This window comes from Homo sapiens, chromosome 2, assembly GCF_000001405.40.
Source record: "Homo sapiens chromosome 2, GRCh38.p14 Primary Assembly".
In the NCBI taxonomy this organism is placed as follows: Eukaryota; Metazoa; Chordata; class Mammalia; order Primates; family Hominidae; genus Homo; species Homo sapiens.
In genome coordinates, this window is record NC_000002.12 from 17,538,175 (window position 1) to 17,556,379 (window position 18,205).

Sequence of the window (18,205 nt, forward strand, 5' to 3'; positions counted from 1 at the left end):
GGGCTCCCTCACTTCTGAGGGACCCTGCCACATTCCTCCCTTCAAGTACATTCTCCCATCCTAAAGAGGGGATTTGCCTTCTGTAATTTAAACGATAATATTCCTTAGGAGTCTTAGAATTGGCTTTCTTACTGTGACTTCGTATATACAACTCGACTAAAAGGCATGCCAAAAAAATTAAACAGCAACAAAATATTAGAAGCTGAAAAAGATAAAGCTACATAATAGCTGGATATTAAACATTACAATATCGCATTTAGGACGCAAACAGCGCTGCAGTGCAAATGGAACTTTAAAAAATCTGCCCGCCCACGTAGACAAAGCTACTTTACAAAAGCGCACGCGTCGATATCAATCGTACCCTACAACAGAGCATGGTTTAAAGTATCAGTGTACATTTTTTCCTAAACACAAGTTGCAAGTAAGTTATCTAAAATCGAACACCGCCACGAAAGAGACCTCCAGGGTGCAATAAATAGGTATATCTCGTTGAAGTGGAGAAATGGCATCATGACCCTTTGGGTTGATGCAGATTACAGTGCGGAGGCTGTTCTCGAGAGAGAAACTAGAACTCAGCGTAAAATGCTGTAGTAGGGGAAATCGACCAAAGACGAGATTTTGAAAGCCTTTTGAAAGTCGTTTTTCTAGCTAAAAAGAAAAAGTGACTTATTCAGGACTGACTCCCCCTGCCAGTCCCAGGAAACAGGAGCAGCCCGGCGCGCCCGGGAGCCCCGCAGCGCAGTGCGCACTGCGGCTCCAGAGCGAAGGGCTGGCGCCCGCCAGATTCTAAACGTGCTCGGCTGCCGCAGCCCGCCGGGGCCGCGCGCCGTGGTCCGCGCGACTCCGCGCTCCGGGTTTCCGCGGTCACCAGCACTGGCGGAAGAGCCCTGCCGAGAGGGGACAGCCGCGGGCGGTGTCCCGGGAGTCCCGAGAGCGCGCTCCCCCTTTGCGCAACCTTCCCGAGGCGTCCTGCCCGGGAAGCCAGTTCCTGGGTTCTGGGCTGGCTAGGTTGGCAGCGAATGAGGCTTAGGCATCACTGCCTGAGGCCCTCACTTAGCATGTCGACAGCCACAGACTTGTCTGGCGGAGTTTCTCCTGGTGCCCACTTAAGTAGTCTCAAGTTTGTTCAAAGCTGGACTCCTCGACTTGGAACCAGGAGCAGCTGGAGATTTGTCAATTTAGAGCTCATTTGCCACGGGAGACGCTCTTGGTGTCCCCAGCACCGAAGGGTAGGTCAACTCTACAGTTTTCCTGAACATGATAAGGTGTGTGAAGACGCTGTGCAAATTGTACAGCGCTCTGCTTAAGGAGAACCTCGATCTTCATCTCGCCCCCAGAACTTCCCTCCCTTGAAAATAAAACTCCCACCTGAATGTAAAGCCCAGGAGGGGGTTTTGTTAACCGCACTTATTCCCAAAGCATAAAGGAATGTCTAATAGTTTTGCAAATGCTTCCATGAATAATTGTTGAATGAGTTCATGTACAACATACACACTTGAGGAAAACTGGTCTGGTTGGGAACATCTGGGAATTCTCCTTGCTTTTCTGGTAGGGAAGCGACCGACCAAACATTTATTGGGCACTACTCCTTGCCAAGCCTTCTAGGCTTTGGCAGGCCAATGGGGAGCCGGGGGGAGGGCTGGCAAACCTGTTAGTTGTTCAAGGACACAAAGGGGGCTTTATAAGATGGCCTAATCAGAGCCCTTAAACGTGGGTTCGCAAAATGGTTCATTCCCGCCCTTTCACCCACCCCCTCCCACCCCAGACGCAAAGCATATGTTAAAAACACTTAAGTGCATACAGAAGGCGCTTGGCTCAGGGTACACAGGGCAAGAAGCCTCGGATCCCAGCTCCCTTTAACACACATTTTTTCAACGCCGTTCTGGACCGAGACTGTCCGGGGCACTGGGTGCTGCAGGACCCGGCTCCCAGTACTCCTAGCAGAAGACCCTCTGATGAAATGGCCCATGACAAAATGACCACCATAACCGTTCCTTCAGTAAGCCAGGTAGACGTGCTCACAGCTTGCTGGGAAGTCTTCTTTCGGAGATTTCTGCAGTTTTCTCCTTCACCTTACAGCCTAACAAAGGGTGGGCCGGGGGTCGGCTAGGACAGAAAGCAGCGGGAAAAGCGGCTCCACGTGTTCCATCTCTGGCCTCGGCCTTCAGCCCCCAGGTTCGGTAACCACTGGGCGTGGCGAGTCCGGGTAACCCGCAGTCCCTCGCGCCCGTCCAGGTGCGGGTTGCTCCGGTAGCCGGACTCCCTTTTCCTATATACTTTCCTTTTGAGCTTTTGCTAAAATCTGGAGACGTGGAATCCACCCGCGGAAACTCCGAGCCCCTCCGACTGAGCATGCGCCATCGCCAGGCGGCTTTTGGTCACAGGCTCCCGAGTTCTCCTAGCTGGGGCTGCGGAGCTGGGGGGAGGGAAGAGAGGAAAGGGGAGGGGGTGCCTGGAGAGGCGGAGGCTCGCGCGCCTGCGCATCCAGCTCCAGGGACCCTAGGTTTTCTATGGGATTCCCAATCTGCAGCAGAGATTTACCCGAGCGTGTTGCGGCAGCGGCTGGGCTTGCAAGGCGCGATCCAAGAGGGATTTAAGCAGCCCAGAGCTCCAGAGAAAAAGAGAGCGAGAGAGAACCACACACAGAGACGGCTTAAGCGTTTACCCGAATTAAATATATATTTTTAAAAAGAACTGTTGAGTTTTATCATTTTCGTTAAGTGACCGTGCGCAGCGCTGTAACTGTAAGTGGAAAATACAATCTTCGTTGCATTTCTGCATGTGTAGTGCAACCAACTGTCAGAGAAATGCTTTGGCTATTGTCACATACTTTGCTTTGCATAGATGCGTCTAAATGCATGGGGACAATTTCCTTGCTTAATGCTGGCGATCTGAATGTGCTCTTAGTCCATGGGGGATCTTTTGGAATATTGGGGGTGGGGGAAGGGGGAGTGTTTATATGCGGCGTGTTTGGGGGATTGTCTTAGACTAGATTTAAGACAGGTGAAACTGAGATGCTTTCTTAGTTTGTCTTAGACAGATTTAAGTAGCTAATTGACCGATTGTGAAGTTTTCCGGTTGCTGATAAAACTATTGAGCGGGTACAGTCGAGTAGCAACCTGTCATCCGTGGGATTGGTGCACCATTTTTCTCACTGTGGAAGGGCAGCAAAGGTGTTTGCTAAGTAAAACTGAGTGGATGAGATTGGTATGGAAATCATGGTTGATCTCTGAGCGGGATGTTAGTGTTTAAGATCCACGGAGTCAGGCGCAAAATGAGCACATTTCTCTCAGTATTCAGAAATGAGTAGATAATTTTTTTCGTCTTTGATTTTTGTCACAATGGTGAATGGGCAGAAAAGGGAAAGATGCTCTACTGCACTGTCGATTTTGAACGGAGTCACAGGCTCGGTCGCTGAATGGGGACTGTCAGACCCAAACTAGTTACCTGCCTTTGCATTCCGTGTTCGCCATCCGGAATCTGGGGTTAAAAAATGTAAATCAAGGTGTGTTACATTTGGTAGTATTTCTTTAAAGGATAAAAGGTCGTTTTGTGTTTTGAGTTAAAATGGGTTGTTCCTTGCCCAGAAACTGGAAGAAGGGTCTTTGCAAGGTCAAACCCCGGGTGGAAATCAGAATGATGAATACCCTCAGGGGTACAAGAATGTGTACGTGGAAGGAGCGAGGAGAGGCTGATGCTCCCTGCATGGTGGAAATGATGAGTGCTCCGCATTGCCTGATCAGTGCCCTGTGAGATGCCAGAGTGGGAATCCATTTTTCTAGAGTTGCCCTCCTGTCCGTATTTTGGAAACTAAAATAAAATAGAATTGTTGGTGGTTGTGGAGAACACTAAGTACATACTATTTGTGTATCACTTTCCAGTTGAAGGCAAGAAAAGCTGGGGAGTTTTATTTCTACATATTAATATTTATTTTAATTTCTAAAGGAATTTCAGGTTGAGACAAATTTAAAATGAAACTCTTGTGAAAACACATTTTACCCCCACTATCATTTAAACTGCCTACGTGTGTTTGTGTGTGTGTGGTGGGGGGGAGTAGGGGGTGATCCTACATCATTGAACAACTTACTTTTGAATGCACTCTCATTAAGCCTTGGGTATTTAATAACCCCAGAAAATGCTGCACTGAAGCAGGTTGGCAGAATGGGCATGAGGCAGAAAGATGAGAAAAAAGCATGGCTAGTGCGTGCTGGATTTCCACGAAATAAGCAAATCCAATTTTGGGGATGAAATGAAATAAATTTTCCCTCAAATCGGGTGTGGGGGCCATCAAATAGGGCTCTTTGGCCCTTTGATCAGTCCAACCATTTGGAACCCCTCAAAGGAATTTATAATTTATTTAAATGGATGAAATTTGTAATTGAAAATTCGAGAAGAACCTCTCATTGGAAATCCACAGTATAAATCATACTGCCTTGTCTATTCCTTCTTTCCTTACTCCAGGGCAGAAGGACTAATCATTTGTCATAATTGAGCCATACTCCCTGTCATCATTGAGCATTGGCATCAGTTCGATGAATGGTGCAGGTGTTGACACTGCATTGATAAAGAGGGGTGGTAGAGGAAAAAGGGGGGAATTAGGTATCAAAACTGATAAATGCTTGGTCTTGGAGTCCCTGGCTCATAGGTTGACAGAGAGGATCAAGTTAGGCAGAGACCCTGTAAGGTATCTAGTCCAAACCCCTTGCTTTGTAGATGAGGAAACTGAGGCCCAGAACCATGGATGTAGAGAAAAGTCAATTAACTTCTAGTCTATGGAATAAACAATTAAAAAGTAATGTTGAGTGGAAATGTTTCCTTCTCTCTTTCATTTTCAGCAGTCTCAGTGACATTGCTGCAGACTTCAAATAAATAACTGTCTGCTCTCCAGCACATCTTTTGAAATTGTCTCTAGGGGTCCCTTTTATACCACCTCATTTCTCTTCCTTGCCTCTCTTTGTCTTGTAAGGTCTCTTTCTCTCTCTTTTTTATTGCCCCTCACCTCTAATATCCCCACCTCTTTGGATGTTTAGTCTGGCTTTTCTGGCCTCCTCTGCATCTCAGACAATTTCTTTGGAATCCTTGGCGTTTGCCGGGAGCACTAGCGTATCAGAATCTGCAGTTCCTGTTTGAGAACTGCCCAGGGCCCATTTCCATCTTTCCCTGCTGTGTTCCCCAAAATCCTTCAGGGAATCCAGCCTTCAAAGACACTGCAGTTACATTCCCACTTTTCTCCCCATCTGTCCTCCTCCAAAACCACTGCAGCTGCAGAGATTAGGACTTCGTGGAGTGAGGAAGCTGCAGGGTTTCCAGAGTGGACTTTGCCAGCTCACCTCTGGCTCCTAGGAGGCAGAACCCAAATTAGAGATGCCTGTCTCCAGCCTTCCTGGAAATCCTCCAGATAAAGCCACCTGCGGAGAAGGGAAAGGGAAGGGACAGAAAGACCGAAGAAGGCTTGACTGGTTTAACCTGAAGTTGTGCTATAGAGGAGAGTAGTGCAGCTTTTTCATCCTTTAAAGCTTTTAAAGCATTTGCATAGCTTTTCCTCAGGCAGATCTTTTGTTTTATTCTTTCGCAGTTTCTGCTCTCATCTTGCTGGATGAGGGCTGCAAAGCAGACAAGGTGACCCGCCTAACTGGCCTTCCTACCTTCCTCCTGTTTTTTCTCCTTTTTTTCCTCTTTTGCTTTCTCCATTTCTTCCTCATTTTCTCCCTTTCTTCCATAAAAATTCTCTGAGTGCCTATACAATAACATTCTATGCCTCCTAAATATAGTCTGGGCCTTCCTGTTTCTTCTCCAAAAATGTAATCTCCCAGGCACTCAGAAAGATACTCACAACTACCACAAATGGGGAAATGCTAAGGATTCTTACATGAAAAAAGCTGAGGCATTAGGAAAGGAGGAGCTTGATGATTGGAATGCAAGGCCAGAGGAAGTCCCACTTGGGATCTCTTTCTCATTTCAAAGAGTAGGTAACTACTCTTGGAAGTTGTTGAAGCTTTTAAGAAGCAAAGTGGTGAGTTTCTCAACACCTTTACCAATTAACAATTTAATTTAACCCCTCCTCTGTTGGTAAATCTTTACAGAATTGGGATGAGCTCTGTCTTGGATGGAGTCTGTTTCTAACAAATGCTCTCGGGTTAGTTAGATGTTACCTGATCTTGCTGATATACCCATTCATATACCCTTGCAGAATACCCATTCCAGGGTATTCTGAACACCAGATAGATAGCCTTTGCAGAGATGCGGAGATTTGTAGTTGCTAAGTGCCCCGCTTTGGTTTACTACACTGTGAATCACCTCCCCATTACATGTGAGTCACATGTGATAGGATTACAGCATCAGGAATATTGTCTTGGGCAAGCTATAGATTTTCTATTTGGGTTGCATGTAGTTATGAATTCCAAACATTGTGGAGAGGCTCCCTAGGGAGTTTCACAGAATAACAGTTCAGCATCAGTATCAAACATATGGTTTCCTAATTGATAACAGCAATATATTTTCACTGTTCTCAAGGTCTTTTTCTTTGTTTTGAGTGATTTCTATGCTCCTAAAATTAGTGATTATTTAGGAAAATAGGAAGGCTCTCTCCACAGAAATGATCACATTTAATTAATCTAAACTGACAGTGTCCATCTTCATTATGCATAGTGAATATAAACATTAATTTTCCTAAAGTATCAAATGGTACAGAGATATATTAAAGAATGATTGATAGTTTTACTATCCCAATGGTTAATTCATATGACTAATAGAACATATGAGCTGGACAAGATCCATATAAGTCACCTAATCCATCCCTCCAATCCATTTTTAAAATAGTATCTTCAGGAAATTTTTTTATCTTAAAGACACCCCTACAATATGAATTCGTTGTCTGGAAAAGCAATGATTTTAATGACCTTTTAAAATATTTCCACAATATCTGTACAATGTCTTTTATAGTGGAAACTCAATATTTGTCAATTAAATATTTGTTCTAATAAGAATCAGTTGCATGTACCTTGTTAATTATATCAAAAATTAAATTTCTACTGAAACCATGTGCACAATTAACATTTCTTTAAGTATCTTTGTTAGTAACGAAAAAAACTAGATTAAAAATTATTTTATACTTGAATGACAGAGAGAGACCCTATCTCAAAAAAATTATTTTATGATTTATTTTTTGTAAAGATATTAAAGCATTATATTAATACCTCTAAGAGTGCTTTAAAATCTATTTACATGTTTATCCTTTTTGTCTCTTAATAAGTAAAAAGATAAAGTATTTTTACCTATTTACAAGAATAAGAATATTGATAAGTAAAAGAGGGAATATAAATCTAGACTGTGGTAGCTATGTGCTCCACTTAGATCATGCTCTCTTGAGCTATGGAATTATTTTAACATGTTCACCCTGTGAGGGGACCACATCATTGCATTTCTCATTTACAGTTTGTTTCTAAAGGTAACTTATGCACTCTTAAGTGAATCAAAATAGTTTGCGTTGCTCCCAGCTTAAATCATTGAGAACTTTTACTAATGGAAGGGTCTTGGGGATGCTTTAGAAACTATTTAATGAATGAAACAGAAATGGAATAGTAAATTACTGAGGAATCTTCAAAGAGGTTTGACACTTTAATCATAAGGTGCCTGTGAATATGTTCAAGAGCTGTTCTATACCCCTATCAGCTAACTTAAAGTATGCAGATTGGGTAATTTTCACAATTCTTACACTTTCTCTGGATTTCTCCACCTCTTTACTTAATTTACTGCAGTCCTAACACAGACGACCTGCTGTGTAACCATCAATTGTTTATTCTTTTTTTTAATGCATGGTAATTCCAAGGACTTACTGGATTATTTCCAGGTGAGCATTCTATTTCCTTTTGTTCTAAATTACAATTAAGACTTGGAGTACTCTCATTCACCAAGTGGTCTTCAAGCTCAATGTACCTAATACAATAATTACTGAACTTTTTGTAGAAAGTAGATCTCTTTTACTTAAAAACGATTTTATTTTTATGAGGCATTGCTTATAAAAGGCAAAGTGTTAACAAATCAGTTAAATTTATCTGCAATTATTATCGATGCATAGAATGAATCCTATTCATTGCTGCCCATATAATACTTTTCTGAAAATAGAAATCTCTCACTTTTTAAGTATACTTTTTCCTCCTTTTTTTGGATTTTGTTTATTATTTCTTAGGCTCTGAAAGACTATGAACTTTTGAGGAGCTTTATGTAAATAGTTTTTTGTTTTTTTTGGCAAATCATTAACATGTTAAACGTACTTTGAAACCTGGGTGAATTTTTTCTAATGTAAATCAACAGATCCTAATATTTCTGTTATCTTATATTTTAGAATCTTTTTGCAGTTCAAGAGTTCTTGAAATAGTAAACGCTGGTGTTACAGGAGACTAGTGTTTTATATTTTGCATTGGTTTTAGTAATTTGTGATTGGCGTGTTTATTTCTGATTTCTTGAAGTCCAATTTTAAATTTTGAGTAAAATGTCCCGTTGGAGACCCATCAAGCATTATTAATAAAGTTGAAATGCTTATTAATATAATATTTTGCTTTTAATGTATCAAGTAGTGCTGCACAAGGCTCACTTTCAATTAGCAAGTTCTGTTTGCTGAAATTCTTGGCATTTGATGTTACGAGTTAATGGAAGACTATCAATTTTGTTAATTCCAGAAGTTCAAGAGTTTCTGTAACTTTATATAAAGTGCTTGATGTTTTTTGCTTTCTTGTTCTTATGAAAAATTTTATGAAAAATGAAAGGAAATTGTGAAGTAAACTTAAATCCTATGTATAAAATTGTTATTCTTTTAAATGATTATAAAGGTATTCATTCTTGAGTGAGATGAAAACCACTAAACTATTAGTCTTTCCTCATTTTTAGTTTGTGAATGGGAAACTTCTAACCATGATTTCAGTTGGCTCAGAGAAAATTATGAGAGGAAGTATAAAGTTCTTCAGCTAGGTATATTAATACTTAGACAAAAATTCCCAGGGCCATAGTTTATTAGTTCTGTGACCTTGAATAAATTGTTTAAACTCTCAGCCTCAGTTTCTAATAGTAATTCACAGGATTCTTGAACAGAAAATAGAAGATTATATATGTAAAGAATATAATGGCTTATTATTGAAAATGTACAATAAATAATAGTTATCCTTATCATTAGCATCACTTTAATCAGAAATCAATAGCTCATAAACCACTTTGGTCACTGAGTTGAAGCAATCTCCGTTCATTGCACAACTTCTAAATAAGGAATCAAATAGTGAACAGTTTACGGTGCTTACCCTACCTTATAAAACTTAGATTTATTGAGAAAGTGTGCCAAGCTCTGTGTAGTCACTGCAGAACAAAATTAAGTAAGATACAATCCCAGCCTTCAAGAATTTATGCCTAATGGAGAAGACAGATAAATGCAATTTTAAGTCAAGTGAAATGAAAAGGTGGTATGGATGCACAGAATTATTTCAGAATGAAATAAATCCCTGCACTAAGACTTCAGATTTTCTCTTATTCCTTCTTTAAATGCATCCCCTTTCCATTATGCCTTTACTTTATCATCATCACCCTACTATATAATGCCAGCATATAATTGAGTCCAGAATATGGAAGTGAAAGGAAATTTTTGAGTTTATTTCCTTATTGGATATATTTTATTATCTATGAATTACTGTTCAGTGTAGCTAAATAACACGTTTCCCTTCTCCCCCAACCTGCACTCACAGTTGATCACTGAACTTCAATAAAAAACGTTTCAGGAGCTCCGCTTTTTTGGTTAAATATTACACTGTGATACTTCTATCTTTTAATACTTTCCCAAAACAGGATTTCTATCTGATACTCTCCCCACACCTCCTCTATTTTTCCAACCCATTTCGCGACTAATCATTCAATGTGTGTCTGTGGGAAGAGTCTCCTATGAGCTACTCTTTCATTCTTTTCTCCCAGGCTTTTACAATAAAGAAAAGATACCTTCCAACTGCTCTTTCCTACTGAACCAAAAACAATGTTTCTAGCCCCTCTCCACATTTCCCCCACCCCCACACACATCAAATCCAAAGTGACCTTATTGTTTTTAACTCCTCAAAGAGCATTTTCAATTTCCTTCAGGTTTTCCCCCCTTCTTCCTCTATTTCCTGCCCAATTTCCTAGGAAATTTCAGGCATATTTCTAATCTGTAGATAAAAAAGGACATCTTTTTCTCTTTTTGAAGTCTACAAAACTTGCACCTAAATTCTGAGGTTTCTTTGTATAATAGGACAACTCCTGGATGATTCATAGAATTGAGTAGGGTTATTGTTCTAATTAATCTTTTGAGTTTATTTTCTCACTGGTGAAAATAGGGATAATGTAGTTATCTTATATGAATGTTGAAGTCCTAATATAGTGATGTGTATATAGCACCTGAAAGAGCTTGGAATATAAATAATTCCTTCTCCCCCTGCACACCCCAATCTTCTTTCCTGCCCACATCTTATCTTTTCTGACCACCTTCTCAGTTACATTTCACCATTTCTCCTTGGCTAGTGTTCTAGGTGTCCTGCTGCATTTTTTCCAAGTATATCTTCCTAATTGGCTCATAGTTAAATAATAGGTAACATAACACATATCCCAGGTAGCATGGTGAGCGCAGTCCTAGAAAGCGTGTGCTAACTGAATCAATGCCCTAGCTTAGGCCTGTGTTCCTGCATCTGTTTAGAAAACCTCTTTCATTTGTTTAAGACATGTCTTCTGCTAAACTTTTCAGAGCCTCTAGTGACTAATGTTCAGTTGATGAACAGTCCTCTCCCACTCCAGTGATTCTGTGGTGCTCTTCATAAATAATGTCAGAGGACATCTGACAGTGCTTAATTATCTTCTGATTTTTATCCTCTTTTTTCCATTACCTTTTCCCCCAAGGTGCCCTGAGCACCTGTTAAACACTTCAGGAGACGCCTATGCCTCAACTCTTATGCAGGATCTGGTGATATCACTTGCATATCTTTTGTTTATCACATAAATGGTTCTCAAATAACACCAAATAAATGGCAGAAGAGGGAGGCCATACACACAACACATGTTGCAGAACATGTTCAGATCAGGTTTAGCCTATCAGAACCTTCATTTGCTGAGTGTTTGTAGAAGTGTGCACTAATGCAGATTGACCAAGTGCAGAGAATGGTACTCAAGGTAGGGCTGAGGTAGAGATGCACATACATCCAGATAGATAGATACATACATACACACATACATGATATATACACAGTATGTTCAATGTACTGTAATAGATTGTTTTGTATAGTTTTAAGCAAAATATTTAAGAGTAATAGCTTCATAACAAATCATTACTTACAAGACAGCATTAAAAAGGAAGGCCTATTGAAATTTCTTCATTCTAGATCAAGTGCATAATTGAAAGGGAGGATGGTTTAAATTTGGTGGTAAGAATACCTATCAGCGTTTTGGAAATATATCTTTACAGAAACAAAGAGTTTTTTGAAACACTTCTTTGGGGAAAAATGCTTACTAAATCCCACTCTTCGATATTCCCAGTGCTCATTTTCATGTTAATAATAAGTCTGAGTGGTCCTGTGGTAAAGACCACTGAATCTGTTTAGCTTTGATTAATTGTATATTTCCAAACCTGTTTGTACAGGAAACTTATGTGAAAATATACTTATCAACATTTCATTGTTGTTCTGAAGAACTCAGTTAGAAAAACTGCTTTAGAAAGACAAAAGCTGAACTATGTAATAGAAAGTACACAAACTTAGTAGTCATTAAATGTGTGTTTTAGGCATCACACCTGTGCTTTAGGCATCATAGTGTGTAGCTGTGGAAGACTTACTTCTCTGAGTTTTAGTTTCCTCATGTGAGAATAACTATGATATTACCTACCCTTTGTAGTTACGAGATATTGTGAGCATACTTCACAGACTGCATAATAGCATGTGACAATAAAAAATTTATTGTTCATATCATTCAACTTTAGAATTTTAGATTTTAAAAAGGTGATTTATAATCAAATTATTGATCTTCTGCAAATTATTATATTATGGTTATATCTGCTAAAATATGTCCCCTGTCTTCTCCCCACCCCTACTCTAGGTCCTGGGAAAGAATGATAGATCTATGATAACTAGGTCTTCACAGTTAAATTGAAAAAATGATTTTGAAGTAAAATAATCTGGAAGGAAAAGCCTAAATTATGGAAGGTTTGAGACACATCTGTATCGTTTAAATTTGCCTCTGGATTTCTCATGCTCTGGTTGTAGAACTTGAGCCCACAGCCATTTCTCAGTGGTGTGAACATGTCTTGGCTTCCAAAGAGACCCTTGTGGAAAGAAAAGCAACCACAGTCAAGCTCACGTGTTTGCTCTAGCAAAGAAGCTTTGGAAATAAGATTTTCATCCTACTGGGGTTAAGAGAAGCCCATGAGAGTAACTGGGACTTCCCTTCCAGGAATCAGCATGCATATACAGACCCAAATAATGTGAGTAAGGACAGTAAGACCAACAGGAGAAACTAAAGAGACCCACATATGCATGCAAACACAGGTACTCTGTCTTGGATAAGCTCTTGAACTCATGAACAGAGATGAGTTCTCTTCAAGGACTATGGAAATCACTTTGCAAGAGCTGTTCTGATTATGAAAATCTGAACCTTACTTAGATATCCTAACCCAGTCATCCTAAGGGAATGCAACAAAAAGTTGCTTCTCAGTCCTCTTAGCACATCTGAACACATAATCACTGTATACATGCCAACTCTCGCATAAAACTGGAAATTTCTTGAGGGAAGAAATCATGTCTGATACATGTCTAAGTCCCCTTTGGAGAGCTGTACCACTGAGGCCAGCAGAATAGGTGGAGCAGTAAGTCAACTGTGCATTGACCCATCAATAAATTGTGGAGTTTGGAACTTCCCAGTCAGGAGTTGTTAAAGAGTCCTCACACACCCCAGGATAATGGCAAAGCATTTGGGCATCTGACTCACAGAGTGCCAGATTACACAGGCACCAGTCAAATAAGACCTTGTCCATTTCCTATATAGTCCCCTTCTCTGCCCCCTCCCTAGAAACAGCAGAGCAAGTAATACAAGAGGGAAGCCAGCAGGACAAAAGAACGTATTACCCCCTCTCCCCACTGCTAGATTGAAATCCTAGTTAAGGAAAGACTGAATTGGTATAGTGGAAATTTATATTTAAATTAGACTAAACTTTTTAATATCTAGAAACAACCACTTTTCTGGTACCTACAAGTGACAGAAAAAATATAAATCAGCCCAAGATATCATCTTGGAATGGGGAAGGGAGGCATGATAGAGCATGTTTGCAGCAGTGATGAGAGAATAATGTAGCCAATACTTTGATAAAGTGGCTATACAAGGAATAATAAAAAATGGCATATGATTCATTCTTAAAACAAGAGGCCTTGGCCAGAATTGCTGGTATGGGTATTAGAAGAAATCCATGAGAACTGGAAGAGGACAGGGGAAAGTGATCTAGATCCAAGTCACCAATGGCATAGGAGAAACTGGGAAAGCTGACATTCTTCCAAAGAGGTGCTCAGTAGAAGACCATGTACTTAGAAGGCTTACCTATATCATTCATCTTTGGCTGTTAGCCAAAATTGAATTAATCTGAATATTGAAAGTTATCTCTAGGCTAGGTCTCAAGAGCAAGTAAATGAAAGCAGAAATCATTTATGCCTTCTAATAATAATAGCTAGCAATTTTGTTAAAAAAAAAAAAAAAAAAAAGCCCAGGCGTGGTGGCTCACCCCTGTAATCCCAGCACTTTGGGAGGCCGAGGCGGGTGGATCACGAGGTCAGGAGATCGAGACCATCCTGGCTAACACGGTGAAACCCCGTCTCTCCTAAAAAATACAAAAAAATTAGCAGGGCGTGGTGGCGGGTGCCTGTAGTCCCAGCTACTCGGGAGGCTGAGGCAGGAGAATGGCGTGAACCCGGGAGGCGGAGCTTGCAGTGAGTCGAGATTGCGCCACTGCACTCCAGCCTGGGCGACAGAGCGAGATTCCATCTCAAAAAAAAAAAAACAAAAAAAAACTTAGCACGTACAGTGCTCTGTGTTGGATACTTACACGCGTTACTTCATTACTTACAGCTTTTAGAGGTAAGTGTCTGCAAGGTTAGCTTCATTTTATGACTGAGAAATTGTGTCTCTGAGATGAAAGTAATTTGCCCAAGGTCACATAGATATTAAGTGATAAATGTGTTGTTCAAACCCAAAACCCTCTTGTTCTACCAAACTACAACCAATCTACACACGTCTTTTTATTTTTTAATTTTTTTATTAGGGAAAGCGTACATATTTGGAGAGAATAATATAATAAGCCCCCATGTACCCATCACCCAATGTTAATCAGTATTAAGTCCACTTTGTTTCACTGCCGTCCCCATCCTTCCTCTCTCTAATGGGTTAATTTGAACGAATTAAGACATATCATTTTGTGTGTAATAGTTTACATATATCCACAATAGTATTAGCACAGCAAAAAAAATCACTTAATATCATCAAATATAAAGCCAGTGTTCAAATCTCCTAAGTATTTTTTTTAATCTCCTAAGGATTTTTATAGTTTATTTGAATCAGGGTGCCAATTAAGTCTATACATCCCAGTTGTTGAAAAGATAGCACCCTGTTTATATGAGACATGACTGCATCTCACTGGAGAGAAGTATATTGTGGATTAAAGAGATGTGGCTTTAAACTAAAGATAGGCCTTATCACTCTGAACAAGTTGTCTAAATTTTGGAAAATGAAAATTGTACTCCTGAGATTAATTGTAAGGATAAACATAATGTCTTTGAAAGTGCTTAGAACAGTCTCTCGCATATACAAGATCTTCAGTGAATGTTAAGTCTCCTATAAAAAGAGGGGGAGGGGGAAAGAGAGAAAGAGAGAACAAGAGGGAGGGAGGAAAGAAAAAGGAAAAATGGAATAGTAGGCCAAAAAGCGTGGCCTTCTTATTAAGAGGAAACTTCTTGAAGTGCTTTGGCAACTGATCTTTTGAGAGCACTCCCATTTTGTTCCTGGATGGATATTTGACCACAGTTGTGCCAAAGTAGCTAATGTCTAATGGCTCTGAATCTTCCCCACTGACATGTTTATAGTTCTGCTGTTTCCCATATGAAAAGGCAGAAAATCTGTAACTTTGAAATTATCTCAAATTCAGAAAAATGACAGTATTATAAAATATCTTTAACTTCATACCGATTAAAACTAATAGAAAAATTAAAATATGGCATACATTGTATTAGCAGTGATTGCTGTTATGTTACAGAGGTAACATAGTTTTAAAAAACAAATAAGGGCAATTAATTTGATTCAGATTTGAGTTTGCTTTGTTTTCATATGAACTTGAGCAAGTTACTTCACTCCTCAAAGTCTGGTTCTTAGGGTGTAAAAGGGAAGTTTTGAAAAAAAAATCTAAATATCAGACATCAGCAACATGGGAAAATGGAAAAATAATGGACTATATGTCAGAACCAAATTTGAATTCTAATTCCACTACTTAATGTCTTCTTGGCCTTAGCCAAATAATTTAATCTCTTTGAGCCCCAGTCTTATTTGTTAAATGCAAATTATAACGTATCTCACGAAATTGTTGTGAGGACTAGAAATAATATCCATTAAATGCTTAGCGGAACCCTCTCTTTTATTTGAAACTCATTGGTGGTTATTATTAGTTTGTTTTTAATAAAGAAGTAGTAGTATTTGCTGTCCTCAATTCAAGAGCTCTTAATTTAAATTGAGAAGTTAAATAAATTCATAATAAAGAAGTAGGGAACTGAGCATAGCCAACAGACCATCTTTTGCACTGGGTAGATCTAAAACCATGTATGAAGTTAATGGACACTTTATGTAGAACAATGGGTAGATGAATTCAACACACAGTATTTATAAGGGCTCATAATGCAATGACAGTATACTGCTTATGACTACTTATTTAGAGAATGTAAAGTGAGCAGCTTCTATGTTATCTGAGAATCACCTCCTCAAATGCCAACTGGAGGTTGCTGGTAAGGAGTACCCAAATCTTCATAATAGGTCTATAAGTTTATACATCTGTAAATGGAAACTCAATGAGAGGTGAATAATAGAGGGAAGGCTAAAAATCTACACAGTATTCCAGCTATCTTCTCTGGATTGTGATTATTGGTTCCTATGGTAGATAATTAGGAATAAAGTCATTTATTTGAATTTGTTTCTAGCTTGGATACCACCGATTGTTATCATGGTGACTGAGATCACCTCATTGTAACAGTGAGAATATTCATTTTGTCATTGTCTAGGATTAGATAGAAGTACAGAACTCTTTTTTTTATAATTAAATGAAGAAGACATTACTTTTTCTTTCAGAACACTTTTTTTTCTAGTTTTTTAAACTCATTTAACAAAACTCTAACAACCAGAACTAAAGAGGGCTGCGATTGACATTCCAGGTAATTCATTAATCAGATACCTGGTCCTTCAAGTCACTACTCTATATAACAGCTCTTAAGTGAGACTCAGTGAGGGTTGGGAATTTGCCTTTTTTAAGTAAAAAGAGTAATATTCGCTCATTGTGAAAATTTGGAAAACAAAACAGAAAAAAGAATAAAAATCACCTGCAATCTATTACTAAGTTATATTTTCCTCCATTTTCAATATTGTTTTCTAATAGAGACTGCTCATTTCTTTAAAATTTATATTCTACATTTTTAATAACATTATAGCAGAAACATGATCTTTTCAATTAAAATTCTTTGCAAATGTATATTTTAAATACTTGGATTACACTCCATCGTATATATGAACAAGGTTTAGCTCACTGTTCTCTTATTGTTTTACATTTTAACTTTTAAAATACCACTTAAAGGAAAATCTTTGTGCACATAACTCTGACTACAGGCTGCATAGTGTCCTCAGCATAGATTTCTGCCCATCTCTGGCAGAGTGTGAAATTTGAATGTAAGTTTGCTGCTTTTTATGGCAGAGGCTTGGGCCCTAGAAAGTAGTAGGCCTGAGAGGTCATAACACTTAGAAGATTGAGGAAAATTCACCTAAACTAGTTACTAATTCTCAGGGCCAGCATTATGAGCAGATGGCTGCATTCCTTTCCGAACTGAAAAGCCTATTCTAATCAAAACCTACCTGCAATTGCCCAAAAGTCCATTATTTTTGTCACTTTGTTTTGGAGCAGGAAACAGAAAAGAGAGCCAAGTCTAGGCTGAGATCCTGGAGCACTGATTAATACAGTTTTTATGCCATGCTTTGCCTGTATGATCATTGCTACTACTGCTACCACCATCATCATTATCACCTTCATAAATATCATCTTCATCATATCCAGTGGTAGTCTTCCTGAACAGTCTGTGAATTCCTACAACGTAGACTCAGGGCCTCATTAATCTTTGAATTTCTCAAAATTCTCTATACCTAAATAGTCCTCAGGGAACATTGTTAGGTGCTTTAAAACAGAATTCACTCATTTATGTTTTAGTTTAAATAAATTTCTAATCATTTTTTCTCCAAAGAGAGTATTGTTAAAATAAAGTAAGTAGAAGGCTCTTGGGTTCCCAGGAGGTAGTGAATGACAAATTTCATTTGCTTAGTTTGTCCTGTCTCTTACCAGCCCCAACCCTACTGTGACACTTGGAGGAAACTCTTAACCATAGGATTTTTTCTCACTCATATGAAAAACATTTCTTTTGCTTCTGCTATATGCCAGAAATTGAATTTAGCCCCAGAGACATAAAGATCCTTAAGACAAATATCTTTTTTCAAGAAGCTAATGGTCTAAAGCAGGAGCTAAATGAAATGGGCCAGGTGTTACACGAGTGTTAAAATGATGGTATTTTGACCAAGCAGAATACCTGCCTCATTTCTTTGCCTTTTAAAACATGGCATCAAACAAAATAACCAATACGAACACATCTATGGTTTTATGTGGTTCAGGATCCATGAGTTTTACACCCCAGAACTAAAAGAAGAACTCTTGGACCCTGACTTTTACTTCCATTTTAAGGGTAGTTTTTAAAAGATCTTTGTAACAAATGCAGGCAGAGTCCATATGCCAGTGAAAATGTAACGTTTATGAACCCCTGCTTTTACATCAGTTATTATAAGAACCATGTTTATTCAACTGAACAACCATATATTGGTAGAATCTAATAAAAGGAAGTAAATTATTAAATATGCCAGTTCATCACTTCTTAAA

General features: G+C 39.1%; 1 protein-coding gene across 5 annotated transcripts in view, besides 3 other annotated features; it reads left to right on the top strand.

The window, feature by feature from the left end:
- Positions 827-946: an enhancer, noted in NCBI's record as "active region_15351". NCBI's record gives its function as "activates an Ori minimal core promoter by ATAC-STARR-seq in GM12878 lymphoblastoid cells {active_cell/tissue: GM12878}" and the evidence as "EXISTENCE:reporter gene assay evidence [ECO:0000049][PMID:35858748]".
- Positions 1,798-18,205, top strand: part of VSNL1 (visinin like 1) — a 117,047-nt gene continuing 100,639 nt past the window's right edge. For 4 of the 5 annotated variants that reach the window (NM_001366804.2, NM_003385.5, NM_001366805.2 and 1 more), the window contains exon 1: positions 2,522-2,744. The gene's annotated coding sequence lies outside the window, so the exon portion shown is untranslated. Of the gene's footprint in view, positions 2,009-2,521; positions 2,745-18,205 lie in introns of those variants that run through there. The other variant, NM_001366803.2, reaches the window with a different exon arrangement.
- Positions 5,248-5,759: an enhancer, noted in NCBI's record as "NANOG-H3K27ac hESC enhancer chr2:17724689-17725200 (GRCh37/hg19 assembly coordinates)". NCBI's record gives its function as "activates a minimal SCP1, AML or CMV promoter by ChIP-STARR-seq in primed H9 embryonic stem cells {active_cell/tissue: H9 hESC(primed)}" and the evidence as "EXISTENCE:reporter gene assay evidence [ECO:0000049][PMID:30033119]".
- Positions 5,760-6,271: an enhancer, noted in NCBI's record as "OCT4-NANOG-H3K27ac hESC enhancer chr2:17725201-17725712 (GRCh37/hg19 assembly coordinates)". NCBI's record gives its function as "activates a minimal SCP1, AML or CMV promoter by ChIP-STARR-seq in primed H9 embryonic stem cells {active_cell/tissue: H9 hESC(primed)}" and the evidence as "EXISTENCE:reporter gene assay evidence [ECO:0000049][PMID:30033119]".